Raw genomic sequence first — 18436 nt, 5'->3', positions numbered from 1 at the left:
CTAGTTAAGGAATTTTACAGAGAAAGCCTGATGTGTACATCCAACTGCAACGTAAATATCAGCATGAAAAAGGAAGCCCCAGTCTGCTGAATACCTTTGATCCTGCTGGTCTCAGCACTATTTAATTCCCTTAAATATGTGACCAATCAATTGCTATCTACCTTCTTAGCTGTTACCTTTGTTATGACAATTAAATTGTGTAGCTCCATCAATTCAATGTAAGAATAAGAAATGTTATTTATAATAATGTTAATAAAAACAATGAGTATTTACTTGATCACTTACTCCATGCTAGGACCCATTATTAGCACTTTAACTAAAATACAATTTATTATTTACAGTAACCTTAATGTGGTAGATACCATTGTCCTTTACGAATAAAACTCTTGAGACTTGGCAAGGTTGAGGAACTTGCACAAGGTCACAGGTTTGAAAATGAGTGAGCTGGAATTCTCTCTGAAATCTGACTTGAGAACCAAATTCTTAGGCCTCACTCCTTATTAGCCACAAGTATGAAAGATAAAACCAAGATAGATTAAAATATGAGTCATTCATGTTCTCTCAGGGAGGGTCATAACAAAGTCTAAATATCTAAACAACACTAACTTTGGTCGCTTATTTCACCATCCTGCATACTACCATAGTTAAGTAATGAAAAGTCTTAATCATGCATGTTAGTGAAGTTAAGACCCCCATTGTAATTTCCAAGCTGAAGCACATATTTATTTTAAAAAGTCATTATCTGAGTGGCAAATATTTTCACACTGAATTTCACATACTCCCGCTCTGTTGAAAGAGCCTTATCTATCAGCTACCAGTGCTTTAGCACCATCTGTACAAAACTTAGGTAGATATAATCCTCGAGGCATGTCTGTGTACGAGAAGATGCAGTGAACACTCTCTTTACTAATGGATTAGTGTTTCAGTGTATCTGAAAGTAGAGAACAATATCCTGGCATCAAAAATTGCAACAGGAGAAAGCCAGAAAGGGGTCAGGAACAATCGACCATCTTTTATGTCTGTCCCAAATCACACATATTAAGGGTAAAAAAAGCTCAAGAATTTATAGTTATGGCACGCCTTTCCTTTATAGATGTCAGTTTCCAAAATTAAGAAACTGAGACAGAGAGAGGTTAGGGACTTGGCTTAGTAATAGCTTTGAGATTGAACCAAGTTAATATGCAGACTACTAAGCTCCTATTCTTTAAGTTATTTATTTTCTCTGCATTGCTGTCATGTTTTCAGGATTATCATTAAGATCAAAGATAATACTCAGTGATTGTTTTCCTCAAAGGTAAACCCTAGGAATGTGAAAACACAAACATATTACGCCCTATTCTTGCATATTAACATGAGAGGGACACTAAAAATTCTAACAAATATTTGAAGAAATGGGAAAGAAGCCCATGAAGCGAGGAAGTAAAATTCAACATTTTGAATCACTCTTTAAAAAAAAAAAAAAAATCAATGTCCCCAAAGAAACCTTGGTTCTATAAACAGATCCAAATGAGTGTGCACAAATATCATCAATTGTTATGATGATAAAGCATATAGAAACTTGTTCAAAAGTGAAACATGTAAATTGCAACTTTTGACATAAGAATTAAAAATATATGAATAATTATAAGGTGTTCCCATGATTGAGTGCCACATTGTTTCAGAAAGAAGCAAAAATAGCTTACACATGAATTTTTAGAGGAGTTAGAATACTTACTAGCTACTCATTATTCTAATTGAACTAGATTCAGTTCATTTTAAGAGTAGGTCTAACTTTAGAAAAATAGGGTAATTATAAAATCTGGGTCAGATGAAATAGTAGTGTAAATCTGAGAGCCGTAAGCCTACCAATGCAAAATTGCTTTTCTGTTTTCTGGAGTAGCCTTTCAAAGAGTACAAAATGGGAAGAAAAAAATACATAGTGTGCTTCTTCTCAAGATAGTTCTTGTAGGAAAGAGTTCTTGTATCTGGAGATAGTTCTTACCTACAAGAACTATGTTGAGGAGAAGCACAGTGTATATTTTTGTGTATAAACCTCTGGAGAGTTTTAACTCAGGCATTCTTCGTTCTAAAAGGAATTTATACCCCACAAAATGTGTGTGAAGATGAAATTTCCCAATGCATGGGCCAACTTGTCAATTATGAACTGGATATGCACATAAGTTTATGCTTTTTTCTAGAGAAATAGGGCAAAATAGTAATTAGTTTATGAGATTGGTCCGCAATACCATATTCTGCTGTATTTTAATTATAGGTCTAAATATTGTTATTTACAAAAGCCTATAATCTAGAAACTAGGTTTAAAAAGGTGAAGGAAGAATTTTGTTCAACTATAAACAAATATTTATTGAGCATCTACTCTGTGCCAGCCACTGATCTTGGTGCTGCGCTGTGGTGAGCAAGGTTCTTGCCAGTGTAAAGCATATAAAGCATTGATTCTGGTGGAGATACTTTTTTTTATGAGAGATGCATGGCTAACCTTAAGAAATTTTGCCCAGGGAATTATCCCTACTTCTATTTTTTTTACATCTTCCTGAACCTTTTCATCACCAAGTCACCTGATTCAGTTATAAGATTATGTCTCATTGAAATCCTTGCCCAGACTTAGACTGCCCCTCATTCTTCAACTTTGTGGTGGCTGATGTCAGATTCAAGAGACAATATACCAGGGCTAAAACCCACTTGTTCATGTCAGAAACACTCAATTCTTTTACAGTGGTTCTATTATAAGAATGAGTGTTAGCATTGATCAAGAGAAGCATCATTTGGGTCTGAAAATACTTATTCTTGATCAATATCTATGTCAAAAGAATGTCCACATGCTGGAATATAAATCAATAGGAAAAAGGAAAAATAATATAGGTTTAAGTAGCATGAAAGTCATAGAGAGAAGCGATAAAACTTGGAAAATCATCCTTGAAAAGCATTTTCCCTGCCTCTAAAGATCTCCAAAGAAAGGCAATCCTAAATAAATTTTTCTAAGACTTAATAGATCTTTCTCTTTTCAAAAAAGTATTCTTAAGAATTAATGTAATTCCTTTTTGTTATTGCTCAAGTTCATTTTCTCTTCTTTTGTTGTCAATAGATGCTTGTTAAACCATTGTACATATTTGTTCAAAGAATAAGGGATATCATGTTCTTTATTATAATCCTTCTCCAAGATAAAGGTAAACTGAAACACCAGGCCCAGCATTGGAAAGATGTGACTTATTTAGTTGGCACAAATCATGTATAAAAACCAATTATATGTGTGGGCTTTATTTCTAAATGTTTTCCTATGGATAAATTTAGAATTAAAATCTGTGTCTATTAGATGATAAAGCATTGATTTTTATTATCATGTATTTTACGTAGTTAATATTTATTGAAATCTTACAATGTGATTGGCATTGGAATGAATGCCTTTATGTAGATTTTCCCACTTATGTGTATTTTCTTATTTAATTGTTATAACCATTATGTGAAGTATTATTTTCCTTTCAGGGAGTGAAACAGGCTTACAGAGATTTCCCAGTTCGGTAATGCTGGAGCCAGAATTTGAACTCAGGAAGTCCAATACCAGAGCATGTACTCTTAATTACTCTGAAAAATAAAGTATTCATTAACAAATCCTATCAGGAAACTCATCAGCCATCTCTTGGTTCAGTTGGCCATGGGTTTGGAATAACTGCTGCGTTGTCTTGGTTGACTTCATAGCGCTAATCAGATACAGGCTGTCTTATTTTTCCTGTTACATATATTATATAAAACACCCATGCCATTCCTGAAAAATGAAAAACAAAACATACATGTGTGTATACATATACATATATATATATGTACATTTTTACATGTGGATAAATAAATCTAGAGTCTAGCAATGTTGGGAGCTTTGAAATCTATAGAGTCCCTTCTTGAAAGAGCCTAGACAGCTATGTGGACCTAGATAACTAATTCACCCTCAAGTAAGTATGGTCTATGTATTTTAGAAATGTGATTATCCACTGTATGCATTTTGTAGAGAAAAGGTGTCCTTCTCTCTTTATCCTTATGTCAAAATACCTTTGAATTTATTAGCGTGAAGGGATAGCAAATGTATGATACCGTGAACCCTGTCAGTGAATTATCAAATGTGTTAATTGGAATCCAAAAAGCCTTAGGACCATCAGTAAGCACTCAGAAGTGCCTAGCCTCTTTCACTGAAGTGCCTTGGAAAATGAGAGTACAAGACAACCCTTGCGCAGCATTTGTGTAAATTAAAAGTGAAATGGATCACCAGTAACACAGGTTGAATAAATTGAGGGGAAGCACCATATTCTACATGTGGCAGTGCCACATTACTTAACAGTATTCAAAGGTATTGATGCAGGTCAGGGATCTTCTGTATCTTAGTTATATATTTTTTTTCTGAGAAATGTCAGGCTGTTTTGTGCTTTAACTTGTTGTGACTGTCTTGCAAAGTCAATATCCACAGCAGATATATAGATAATAGAAGAGATCCAATATTTTAGGGGACTGGTATATAATGGTATCCAATTTCAAATGCTTTAATGATGGGAAAACTGAATAACCTCAGTGCTTATATTTAATTTTAAAAATATCATAGACAACTATGAAACAAGTAGCTTTTATAAGTTCAAGTCTTAGCATGGTAATGTAGACATGAAATTAAAGATATATGCAGATTTTTAAATTATTTGAGTTAAATACAAGCAGTTTGTGTGTATATGCACATGCGCGGGTGCATCTGCACACACATTATTTGAATCAAGTTAAGTTGTTATGGTTATTGTTCTATGAATTGACACTTGAATTTTATTTGCCTGAGAAATGTTGCCTTTATACAACAAAATTAACTAAATATCGTGTGCCTTTTTATGATGTCGTTGAAAGTTACATGAGCTGTTCACAAGTTTCAGATATTAAAATATGGAGGCTAGTTTCTCACTGCTATCCTCTGCCCACAGGTTGTATATAAAAATAATGATGTGAGGCTGGAATTATCTCGACTTGCCAAGCAAGGAGATCCTAAGATGAAGATCCATGGAGTGGTGGCATTTAAATGTGAGAATGTTGCAACTTTAGACCCAATCACCTTTGAAACCCCAGAGTCTTTCATCTCTTTGCCTAAATGGAATGCAAAGAAAACTGGCTCCATATCATTTGATTTCCGTACAACAGAGCCAAATGGCCTCATCTTATTTAGCCATGGCAAGCCAAGACATCAGAAAGATGCCAAGCACCCACAGATGATAAAGGTGGACTTCTTTGCTATTGAGATGCTAGATGGCCACCTCTACCTCCTCCTGGACATGGGGTCAGGTACTATAAAAATAAAAGCCCTGTTGAAGAAAGTGAATGATGGAGAATGGTATCATGTGGACTTCCAGAGAGACGGACGGTCAGGTAATCTTATCATTTTTCTATGCTGTTTATCTGCTGGAGCACCCCACCCACCCATGCCATTCCTAAAAGTGAAAACCAAGACATATTAAAGACTTCCTGCATTTGTTTCTTTAGCCTAAAAGAAATTGCCTGATATTGCTTCTGTTTCACACCATGAAAGAAAGAGCTAATTAATTATCATAGTTGGGCATCAAACCCCAAATGCTCAAATGTCTTCTAAAATAGCTTCTTAAATGAACTTTTATTGGGTAATCAAGTGCCAAATCTTGCAGAAAATTTTGTCTTGAATTTGCAAGTGAAAAAATTCAAAGTTTTTCTATTCCCAGTTTTCTCTTATGTTATTGGATGTTTGGAGGTACCCGAAGTGGCAAATATAAAATATGAAAAAAAAATTAGAATGATCCAAACATAAAATCCTTAGTTTGGCACGTCACACTTTAGGATGAGTCTATGGCATTAAAAACACTTTAATCAATACAGTAGCATTTCAAGGACAGTGGCAAAGCTCTGCTGCCCTTCCAAACTGCTTCCCTTTCTGATGAAAGGTATTTGGAATTCCACCAGCAAACATTCTGCTTCCTGTTGCTGCATTTTATTTCTCTAAGAGAGGAGGGGTAAAGGTGGCAGGTAAAGTTTCTCCGAAGAAATCACATTTACACTGAAATTTGGGAGTGTTTTAGGGGGCTTAGGATGTTGACTAATATGAGCTTTGAGGGGAAATAATCATCCAGGAAGCAGAGATGACATTTGTAGGAATCCTGAGAAAGAGAGGGAAGGAGGGAGGAAGAGAGAGAGAGAGAAGAGAGGGAGAAAGAGGCAGACAGACAGGGAGAGATAAGGAGAGAGAAATCTGTTTTAAGTATACAACTACATTTATTTAATTCCCTTCACCCCGGGCTCCCATGCTCTGATTGTCCTACTCATACATAAATCAAATGATCTTATAATAGAAGATAACTAAATTTAGACCTATCTACTCTCCTTCTTTACTTCACCCACCCCCAACCAACTAAGCTGAGTGCTTCTTTTAGACTCAGTAATCTGTGATAACCATGGTCTTTCAGAAGGGCCCTGTTGAAGACCTGGGGCTGAACTCTCTTGCTCATACCCTCCTTGCATGGGCTCCCTCAGTACTTGTTAACTCCCAGCTGAACTATTTTCTACTTCCCTCTTATCCTTCCTTTTTTATTCTGCTGTTTATAGATCAAGAAGATTGTGTTTGCCTGTTTGGAAATATGTTTTTTACCTAACAAAATAAAGAAATAGAATATATGGAAATTGAGAAGGAGTTGGGAGTGAGTGTGGAGAGAAGGAAGGTCAGAACCCATTACTCTGATTCCCAGATATATTGGAGACTGTGTTTCTGATTCATTCCTCTCTGGAAACTTTGTCTCCCTAAATATTCTCACTTTCCTAAAGAAGTCTACAAGGAATTGAATTACCATTTTTTCTTCCTCCCCCTCCCCCTCCCCCTCCCCCTCCCTCCTCCTCCTCCTCCTCCTCCTCCTCCTCTTCTTCTTCTTCTTCTTCTTCTTCCTCTTCCTCTTCCTCTTCCTCTTCCTCTTCCTCTTCCTCCTCCTCTTCTTTCTGATTTAAGCTGAGAAGAGGCTGGGCGCGGTGGCTCACGCCCGTAATCCCAGCACTTTGGGAGGCCAAGGCAGGCAGATCACGAGGTCAGGAGATCCAGACCATCCTGGCTAACATGGTGAAACCCCGTCTCTACTAAAAATACAAAAAAATTAGTCGGGCGTGGTGGCGGTGCCTGTAGTCCCAGCCACTCGGGAGGCTGAGGCAGGAGAATGGCATGAAGCTGGGAGGCGGATTTTGCAGTGAGCCGAGATCGGGCCGCGGCACTCCAGCCTGGGAGATAGAGTGAGACTGTCTCAAAAATAAAAAAAAATAAAAAATAAAAATAAAAATAAGCTGAGAAGAGTTCATTGATGGGAATGCAAAAATATAACAATAATAATAGAGTGTTCCCCTCTGACTTCCTCCAGCCTATCTCTGCCAGAGATAGCAGTTAATTTGGTACATATGAACTTTCAAGCAGAAGAATTTTGAAGTGGCGTGGGCATGGGCTTATGTAGTGCTTTGAAATATTAGCTTGTGGATGTTATAATTTGACTTAAGATAGATCTAGAATAAAATTTTGAAAATTACTTTCAAGAAGAGATATTTTAAGTCAGATTTTATAGCACTTTAAAACAAAACATGCCAAAAATAGTGGTTCACACCTGTAATCCCCACACTTAGGATCACTTGAGCCCAAGAGTTCCAGGCTGCAGTGAGCCGTGATCATACCATTGCACTCCAGCCTGGGCAACAGAGCAAGACCTTGTCTCAAAACAACAAAACAACACAAAACAACCCATATCAGATTAGACGGTTATCTTCTGAAAGTTCAGAGGAGAAAAAAAACACCAAACATCAAATCAATTGCTTTTCATTCACTTAGAAATGAGGAATTTTCTAACTATATGAATGTAATACACGATTAATTCAAAATACTAGTAAATACAAAATAATATAAAAGAAAAAGGAAAGTATTCATTATTCATTTGAAAATAATGATTTATATTTTTGGGTATTTCTTTCCAGTCTTTCTTCTATGTAAATTGTGTGTGTGTCTATATATGTGTGCATGTCTCTCTCTACATGTATATGTGTATATGTATGTATATATATGCATATGTACATACATGCCACACATGCACATATACACATACTCACAGAGAACAAAATTATTTTGAATATTTTATGAGGTTTCTTATTATAAGGAGAAAGTATTGATGCAATCTAATTAATTATCAGATAAATACTTTAATCTTCAAGCAGAATAAAATCTACTTTTTCTGTTTAAGCTCTTTAATTCATCCAAATTACCAAGAGTTTATTAATTACTCTATTTGTACCCTCATTGGAGAAGGTCAAAATTAGATGATATCTACTTTAATTTACAAAGCTCAATTCTGTATGGGAAGAACAGAAACACGTTCTAAGGAAGTGTTGTTTGCATCTAAGAAAGAAAATAAACGAAGCATGAGATTTTTCTTTGAATCCAGTGGAAAGATCAGATTACTATGCTTGGTGCTGTTGTGATGGTAAAGTACTTTTATGTGATTAAAATTTCAGATTAGTGAATTGGTACAAACAATATAAAAACCAAAGTTCATTCACTAAGCCAAGTTCTGTCCTTTATTAAATTGAAAAAAAATAGAGCTCATATTAGGTTAGCCTAGCTCAAGGGTGTTTAATGTAATTTTAATAGCAGCTGTTAATATTTTATATATAGTATTTTAATTAAGTTCCATATTTGCACACTGCATTGGTTTGGTATGGAGTAGCCTTTTAAAAATTGAATGAATGGCTATACTTGCTTTTATTTTACTTAAAGGATATTTCTGATTTGGCTGGTGAAACAGTAAGATTCAGAGGTCACTTACAACTAAGAAACATGGAAATTTCATGAAATAATTTATTTTACCCATTTTTTATATCAGTTATATTCAGGGGCTATATGAATATTATTTTTCATATAATGTGGAGAAAGTGTACTGCTATGACAAGAGGGTAACATGGGCTCCTTTCTGACATACAGATAATGAGGCCATATCTGTTGATTTGCCTGGAATATTCCTTAGCTCAGTATTTTAAAAGCCTTATTATCTCTGTTATTAAAGTAGAGGGAACCCACGCCTAAGAGCAATTCTTTCTGCTGTTGGCCATACTAAAGTAAATAGAAATATAATGAGACCATTATGGTCATTAATTTGCTGCCAATCTAAGTAGTGGTTATTTTTGGATAGAGAGAGGGTTAAAATCATATTTGGTGGACACAAATGATTTAATTTTAATATTACCCACTTTATAAGGTTCATAATTTCCATCCCAGATAGAGAAAATTGTATTTATTTTTTTATCCACAGTTTCTAGTACATTCCTGGGTATAGCAGTTGTTCAGTATATATTTGGTATAAGAAAAACTAAAGATTAAAAACATGTAAGTAGTACAGTGCCAAACAACCCCTGATACTCTAAAAAAAAATAAAATAAAATAAATTAGCAGCATCATTTTTTACATTTGGAGAATAATGGCACTCTTTTAATTGTAAATGCAACTTTTTTAACTGTAAGCATTTATTTAAATTACATTACTTTCTGAAAGCAGTTTATATGATATAGGATAAAAACTGGTGTTCTCTTGTGAATGCAACACCATCCTCCAAGCCCAGATGTTTGAAATAAGCCACTGAGAAAGTTAAATAATTGTTAGCGAATGTGTAAACCTGGTACAAAAATGACAAGTTTTTATGAGAACAGGACTTCTGTCCCTTCTTGGTCTTGAGGTCCCTATATCATTTTGCAGACATTTAGGGAGCAGGAAAATCCATCAAGAAGGAAGGTGGTAACTCCTTTCTGAGGACTGGGATATGCAACCACAGTAAGTGTGCTCTTGACAAGAACCTAGGATGTCCATCTTTTTGGTGGCCTTCCCTTTGGTTCTTTGGTCTTTAGTTCACTGAAAGGGGTATATGAACCCCTTATTCAATGAGAAATAACACCTTTATGTGTAATTTTCTAAAACTTTCTCATTTTGGCAAAACTGATTGTAACTGGTTATTTCTAACATATGTTCCTTCTTCCAATCTGAGACATGGGGAAAATTCACTCTAATTTCCACAGTTTGACTAATTCTGCTTGGCTATAGCTGTTCTTTATGTGCAGTGCAGCTTTCTTCCACTGCCTGCTCACTAAAGGGTCAGGGACATGGAAAGCCAAGTGGGCTGAGCCGTAAATGGCACTTCCAGATCCTGCAGTAAGCTAGCAAAGGAGAAACCATACCAAGTGCAGGCATGATTTAGTGAATCAGAGTGGATGACTTCAGTGCTGCAAAATGTAAATAACCTCTGTGGATAACTTAGCTACTAACAGGGCAAAACCCCTAAGTCAGTGGACTTAATAAATATGATTGAAGAGGCCCATTACTTTGCAATTTTTGCAGGACTTACAGCTGAGCGTTTTTGTTGTTGTTGTTGTTTTTAAACCAGTCTCTCTCTTTCCAGACTTCCCCTTTGCCTCTTCTCTGGTCCCACCCTCAACACAAAACAGCTGCCCAGGTATTTAGCTAAACTGTGAATGGAGCTACAATTAGGATGAGGTTAATGATTGTTTTCTTGGGGCACAAATATTGTTTAAATTTGTGTTAAACTCTGGCTCAGTCAAAGTACCCTCTCAAGTATTTTTATAGCAAACTGCCAGTCTTATTTTATTTATTTATTTATTTATTTTGTAAACCATCATTACACATTGAAATCAAAGAGAAAACTCATTATTCTTGTCAAAGTTGGCTTGTATACAGCAGGGTACAGCTGATTGTGTCAGCGGTTATTCATGGGTAAGCCTACATTTAACAGCTAAGAAGCCATTGAGATTTGAATTGAAGTCGTAGAGTTCCAGTTTAAGAACTAGATATTACAGTGGGAAAGGTACAAGGCTCTCTCAAGAGCACATAATTAGAGGTTTATAGTAATCACTGTTTGATGTGAACAGCACTTTCTAGCTATCTATTACCAGCACTGATTTCTGTGTACACCATTCATGAATCACCACACTTAAACATTTCTACTTGAGCAACCATTAGACAATTTCTCTGCTTAGGTCTTGTTTGAACTTGCCCTCTGACTGTAAATGTTCCTCCCATGCCTCTGCCTAGTAGCCTGTTATATACATTGAAGTAATTTTAAGTGCATTTATATTTTGTTTCATATCCACACCCATAAACCACTATTCATCAGAGGAAACACCGAAATACCTTACCAATAATTTACTAGTTCTTTGATCATATGACCAGATGGGGTCAATTTTGCTTAAAATTGTAATGTTAAGTTTTATTAAAATGTTTATATTTATTTATTCTGAAGAAGTTTATAGAAAAAAATCATTTATTGTTTCTCCACACTCAAAGTATTTTTTATATTTGTACATTTTCCTTCAGTTTTTGTTAACATTATATATATTTTATATAGTTGCAGTTAGAGTATAAACATAATTTTTCAGGCTATCTGTTTAATATGGTGTTATGTACTCTTTTGCTCAAGATCATCTAAGTAGCAAAATTTATTTTCTGGGAATTATGGAATCATAAGCAAAGATTCAGAGCAGAGCTTTTCAGAAGTACCTGAGCTAGGCCCCTGGGCTTGTAGAACTTAAATGTATTAACATATCTAAAGAAAAGAAACTCACAGGGGCAAATATTAGCAGTAATCTTCTGAACACTGCTTAGCGAACTTGACAACTTCATCCCCACTGTAAAGATGGAGGCAGGTCATTTAACTGAGATAAGGGTGTCAAGCCTTCCCAGGCCAATATTACTATACATTTCCTTATCTCATGCATTCTTCTTGTTCAGAATCCATGTTCCCCATGCACTCTTTTGATTAAGATTTAGTTCCCATTGTAAGTCTGATTAGAGTGGAGGGAGAAAATAGACCAGTTATGTATACAGTCGGCCCGGCCCCCCATTTTTTGTGGGTTTTGCATCTGTGGATTCAATCAACTATGGATTGAAAATAATTGGAAAAAAATTGAGTCTGCTCTGAATATATACAGACATTTTTTCTTGTCATTGTTTCTTAAACAATGCAGTATAATAACTATGTAGCATTTACATTGTATTAGATATAAGTAGTTTAGAGATGATTTAAAGTACATGGGAGGATGTGCATAGGTTATATGCAAATACTAAGCCATTTTGTATCAGGAACTCAAGTATCCACAGATTTTGGTGTCTCCAGGAGATCCTGGAACCAATTTCCACAGATACTGAGGAATGCATATGAGTATTCACATTCCTGTAACAAGTAAATTTCTCATCATAAATGAATAAGTAATATTTGATTATAATTGACATCCATATTGGCAGAGCTACATGGGAAGTATTTCATGTCCTGTAATAGGTAATTCCTCAGAGGAAATCAATAACTTGGCATTCTTGTTTTATACATTGCTGTTATGGAGTTAGTAAATATCAGTCAAACCTGGGAAATGAAACCGCCCTCTGAAAATCTACCAAATCTCTTCATTGGGCTTGCCTAGCTAAGGGGCAGACTCTGGACTATGGCATCAGTAGCACCCTAAGAAGATAGGCAGTTTACTGACCACACGCGGACCTAGTGACCCTTACTGTGGAATGCTGAGTGGAAATCTGTGGAACTTCTGCAAAATAATATTTCAATTGCTGCAGAATGTTATTTGATTGATATTTACAACCTTCCATTGTGTATGATCATGTTTAAAATGTATATGTGTCTATACATTGCTGTGAATGTGTATGTGTGTTTATATATGTGCATTTTTGTAATGCATGATGTATTTAATATATAAATACATACTTTTGGTGAACACGTTCAGGCAATTCAAAAACTAGCTAAGTGAAGCGTTTCCCCTTACCATACATTCCCTCATCAATTTACTCTGTTCTCCATAGATAACCACTAAAATAATTTGGCGTTGAAAAATTCCCAGTTCTTCTTCTAGGCATCAATATATCTATAAATATGTTCACACACATAAAATACTTATACAGCCTTTTTTCTATAGTCAAGATTATAGTTTACCAATTACTGTGTAACAAAAAAACTTAAAGATAGCTTTTTCTGTGCCATTCTTTGTAGTGACACCATACATACCTTAGTTTGAACATACTGATATTTAGGCATTTCTCTATGGAAGAACATTTGAATTTTTACTTTTTTAAACCTTCACTGTTTTAAACTAGTTTATAGATAATTCCTTCATACATGAAATCTTTGTGTATATTGGTCAGAATATCTCTAGGATTGAATGTGAGAATTGGGATTGCTGGATTAATTGTAATTTTAATTTTGAAAGACAATGACAGGTTAGTTTACTAACTGCTGTTTCAATTTACATTCTTATCTACAGTTATTGAAGTGCCCTTTCCCCCTTATTCTTGCCAATACCAGACATTATTAAACTTTTAAATTTTTGTCATTAGAGTTCTGTTTTCATATATTGATTTAATTCCTGAAGTTCCCAGCTCACAGATGAATCAAGTAAGCAGAAAACAGATGGTAATAAGCAGAGAGTGGAATATTAAGATGGTATTTTTGTTTTGTTTTCAAATACAGTTAATTTTATTTCTTTAAAAACCTCATAGATAACATTGGTTTTAAAAAAGATACAGAAATTTTTTAAATAACACTCATAATTACACTGTCACCAAATACCCACTCTTAATATGTTGGTTCTTTTTTAAAATTATTTTATGATAATTATATATTTTACATTTTACATTATACCCTATTGTCAATGTTGTATTCTGTTTTTATTACTTATGTTGTGCATATTTCATCAAGTTTGAATTTGTTATTAGACTAGGAATTTGACAAGTAAATTTGTAACTTTGTGAAATCTGATTCATTTGTGTAGGGACAGGTGGAGCAGAATTAAGTATAGATAAAATTGACATTAATTTAAACAATTCATTTAAGCAGTAATTTAAAGATTGTTTATTCAAAAATGAATCTTAATAATCCATCTACTGAATTTCTTTATTTTTCATAAGAGCCACATTGAAGCCTAACAGATCTATCCTTTGGCTAAACTTGCTAGCTAGTTAGTTGAAGAGCTGGAACATCGGATTTTCTCACCAGGAAAAAGGGTTCCCTATTACAGCACACTATTTTCTACTCCTCATTTCCTAGTAATTTAAACTTGTGAAGTAATTTAACTCTTGACATCAACTTAACTTATTTTAAATCTCACCTTCACTCTGTGTTTCTTCTCACCCTGTAAACTAATCTTATGGAAGTAGAACAGACAATAAAAATAGGATAGAAAAGTTAATGGAAACTAATAGGTAATGAAAAACTACCTCACTACGTTGTAAATTTCATTTCCACTTTTATAACTAAGAGCTGTTTTAAAAAGTTTTTTGAACCTTTGCATACAGTTTTACAAGAAACATAAATTTATTACTTGTTTATGAATATTCTTAAATATTACCTTGTCTGCTTATCACCTTCATTTTACCTCTTACATGTGTCGTGAAAAAACAGCTTTACATGTAAGAATATAATGTAATGTCGTTTCTACATTAAAATTATAAAAGTTGTATGTCCACAAATAATTTATTTTTAGTTGCGATCTCATTCCTTTAAAAAATAAAATAGCATAGCAGGGTGCTTCAGATTCTTAAATAGTGAAGCATGAAACCCTGATCTAGATAATTTCTCAAATATGAACTTTTCCCCAATTTTAGGAGCCTTAATGTAACAATGTTTACATAAAATATTTTGTTAATTTACCAGAAACTGCAAATATAAATTCAGTAGAAGGGGTAGAATGTATGAAGGAATCAAACTATTTAAAAAAGAACATGTCAGTATTTGTGGTTCCTGGAAAAAGATAGAGGGATGACCCATTAATATATTTAGATTTTTGTTTTCTCTTAAAAATGTATTTATAACATTTATGTACCTCAGCCTTTGAAAATTCTCCTTTTCCATTGATATATAGAGTTTGGCAACTACTCAATTGTCTTCAATTATCAATGAACCAGGTTTAAATATTAATTTGATGTGTTCTTTGTAACCACTGATTTTATAACTCAATTTTAATAAAATAAGCACACGGGAACCTTAATATTTAAATTTCACTATGCTCATATCTATGAGTTAAATTGGTTTAAACTAATTCGGATTCTGTGATGACTCTTTTGCTAGGTGAATATGTTCTTTGATTCATATCCATAGTAAAAGTCATTAAGGAGGTCTGGGATTCAAATCCCTTATTGGAAATGTGTCTATTTCAGGACACATGTTTAGGCTAAAATATAAACTTCTATTTGCATTTGTCTCAGTAATAAAATTTAATTATTAATTCTAACCATTTTTACTCCATGAATTTTCAAAATATAAAAATAATTGTTTCCATCCCACTTGAACTAAATTCTTTACTTTCTGATTATTTGCCATCTCTTTTACAAAGATTTTCTAAAATACAAGTTCATACGAATTAGCAAAGCATATAGATAAAGTAGTACTTGATTTTCAGCCCTATTTTCTTCATCCTATGATGTCTGTTTGCATAATATTCCAATGACTGATATCTGATCCATCCATTTGCCTGATGTGTCTCCTTAACTTTGAATCCAGAGCTCAATTTAAGTTCTAGTCTTTCTTGGATTAAATTTGAATTAAAGGTAGGATTATATCCCTTTTTCTTTCTGTCTCATGTTTTGTTGCTTGTTCTCTATCTCTCTCTCTCTCTCTTTCTTTCTTTCTGATGGAGTTTTGCTCTGGTTGCCCAGGCTGGAGTGCAATGGCGTGATCTCGGCTCACCGCAACCTCTGCCTCCCAGGTTCAAGCGATTCTCCTGCCTCAGCCTCCCGAGTAGCTGAGATTACAGGCATGCACCACCGTGCCCGGCTAATTTTGTATTTTTAGTAGAGATGGGGTTTCTCCATGTTGGTCAGGCTGGTCTCGAACTCCTGACCTCAGGTGATCCACCCGCCTTGGTCTCCCAAAGTGCTGGGATTACAGGCATGAGCCACCACGCCTGGCCTGCTTGTTCTTTCTATGAGAACTCTACAATTGTCTCTCAAAGGGACAATAGGGAACTATGGGAGAAACTTACTCTTTATGATAGTAACCCTTAAATCTGTTTTTGTTTTTTATTTATTTTTTTGTACCATGGGTTACAACATTTTAGCTGGTGCTAAAATCCATTGATGGTCCAGCATTTGTTTTAATAAAATGATATGATGAGAGAGAAAATATCAAAGTGCTTCAGAGGCTGTAGAGTTGAATATTTTTTTTTTCTTTTAAACATTTGTTTCAGAGTGTGTGTGTGGGTGTGGGTGGGTGGGTGGATGTGTGTTTAAGTGTGCACTGGGATATTTGAAAATTGTGGTCTCTATGACCGTGTTCAGAAAACTCAAGTCTAATGATAAATTTGTAGTAAGAATCTTACCCTGTCCATATCATCAAGCACATTCTTAAAATAACTTATTTGAACTCTCTTACAATACTTTGCTCAAAGCAAGCACTAACACACCATAAATAAAAATCAAGAGACACAGTTACTCCATCCTTACTGTCAGACAAACTGTAATGAATGATTGTCTAAACCACCTGGCAGCCGTTTTGCCCCTTAGAGTGAGTGCAGACACAGTGCACCAAGGTATGGAAACTACATGGAATAGAGGGAGAAAGTGGGTTGTGGAAGCCAATGAATTTCCTCGACTCAGGAGTCCTCCAGGAGTCCTCTTAGTGTCAGAATTACGATACCCTGAGCAAGGACAGTACAGCCTTTCCCAGGGCTTTTTTCCCCATCTGAGCTGAATAAAAAGAGCATATGGGAATACATACATACATATATGTTTATATATATGTATATTTGAATATATCACCACACTTGGAATAATTTGTCATTGTTCCTTTGCTAAGTTCCGTGTCTCCTAACATTTCTTCTCAATTTCTCAATAGTGGATATTCATTTCGTCAAATCCTCAAAAATTCTACGGCTTTTAGGAGGCCTTATTGAACTAATTGGAAAATAGAGTAGAATCCTTCTCTCTTTTATTTAAGAACATGTCACTTTGGCTGGGTGTGGTGGCTCACGCCTGTAATCCCAGCACTTTGGGAGGCCAAGGTGGGTGGATCACTTGAGGCCATGAATTCAAGACCAACCTGGCCAACATTGCAAAACTCCATCTCTACTGAAAATACAAAAATTAGTTGGCTGTGATGGCGTACACCTGTAATCCCAGCTACTTGGGAGGCTGCGGCATGAGAGTTGCTTAAAGCAGGTGGCAGAGGTTGTAGTGAGCCAAGATCCTGCCACTGCACTCCAGCTTGTGTGACAGAGTAAGACTCTGTCTCAGAAAGAAAAAAAAAAAGAACATGGCACTTTGTTCATTGCATGTAACTCTTTGCTTTCCATGATAATATGTGCTTTTTAAAGTGTCCACCTTTCCTTTTGTCATTAAAAGACACTCTTTCTCATCATATTCTAACTTTCATTAGCTACTGCAGAGGATAGGGACCATCTGTTTATTCGCTTCTTAGGTATTTTGAATAGGGCTATATAAAAAATGATGCTTTAAAATGCGTGTAATGATCGTTCCATTTGAAATAGAAAAGAGCCACCATTCTCTTTCAATATTATAAATTTTATTTCCCCAAAATGCCATGCTTTATATTTTTCTAAATAGGATTTTATGGTTCCCATATGTTCCTAAATGAGAGTTTTCTTCTAGACACTTGTACAAATGTGAACAGTAAAAATGAATACTTTGTCCTTTTCTCTTTTAGCTGCTTCCCTAGGAAATCTCTATTTTGCTCCCCTCATTGGAAGGCCAAAATAGCAATGCCTTTGAGTGTTTCTCCCCTAGGAGCTTTTCCCTTTTCTTTCTCTGAAAGTCTAGAGAGCCAAATATCCTCTTAATGACTCGGCCACCTGAGCAGTCTTTGTCAGTGGCTTCCATGCCCTTCTCCCTGACAAAGACAGATCCCATTAGACTGCCTAGATTGAAGGGGGCCCTTCTGCTGGGATTTGGAATACTCCTGGGCACATCAGGGCCCACAGCCTTACATCCTTAGTTAGATATGTGTTTTCACTTGGGGCGGGCTTTTGGTATTCTGTGTAGCAACTAAAATGTGTCTCCCTACACACACCTGACCTACCCTCCACTTCTTCTTTTTGTCCTTACTTCTGTATCACACCTCCCATCTCCAGGTCTCTCTTGTGTCTCTTCCCTAAATACCTGAGGTTCTATACCCATGCCCCAGCATGCTATCAGACCTTTTCTCATCCTCTCTCTCTCATCAGACTCTTCCTATCCTTTCTTATAATCTGGAGCTGAGAAATAAATCTGGGATAATGTGGTTGTGGGTCCTTGTGGTGTTCTGTTCAGGTATCATGGTTGCATTTGTACAAAGGTCTTTCTGAAGATAAAGTATCAGTGGAATTTTGGTAATCTGACAGTGTGTATGCACGTTTTGATCAGGAATATGCTTTATATCTTTCT

General features: G+C 35.3%; 1 protein-coding gene across 15 annotated transcripts in view; it reads left to right on the top strand.

The window, feature by feature from the left end:
• Positions 1-18436, top strand: part of NRXN1 (neurexin 1) — a 1113630-nt gene that overhangs the window by 474164 nt on the left and 621030 nt on the right. For all 15 annotated transcript variants that reach the window (NM_001330096.2, NM_001330087.2, NM_001330083.2 and 12 more), the window contains one exon: positions 4944-5382. In NM_001330096.2, the coding sequence (NP_001317025.1) occupies positions 4944-5382 (439 nt within the window). The remainder of the gene's footprint in view (positions 1-4943; positions 5383-18436) is intronic.

Source organism: Homo sapiens, chromosome 2, assembly GCF_000001405.40.
Source record: "Homo sapiens chromosome 2, GRCh38.p14 Primary Assembly".
Classification (NCBI taxonomy): Eukaryota; Metazoa; Chordata; class Mammalia; order Primates; family Hominidae; genus Homo; species Homo sapiens.
The sequence above is the reverse complement of the archived record's forward strand: the minus strand, read 5'-3'. Positions and strand labels throughout refer to the sequence as shown.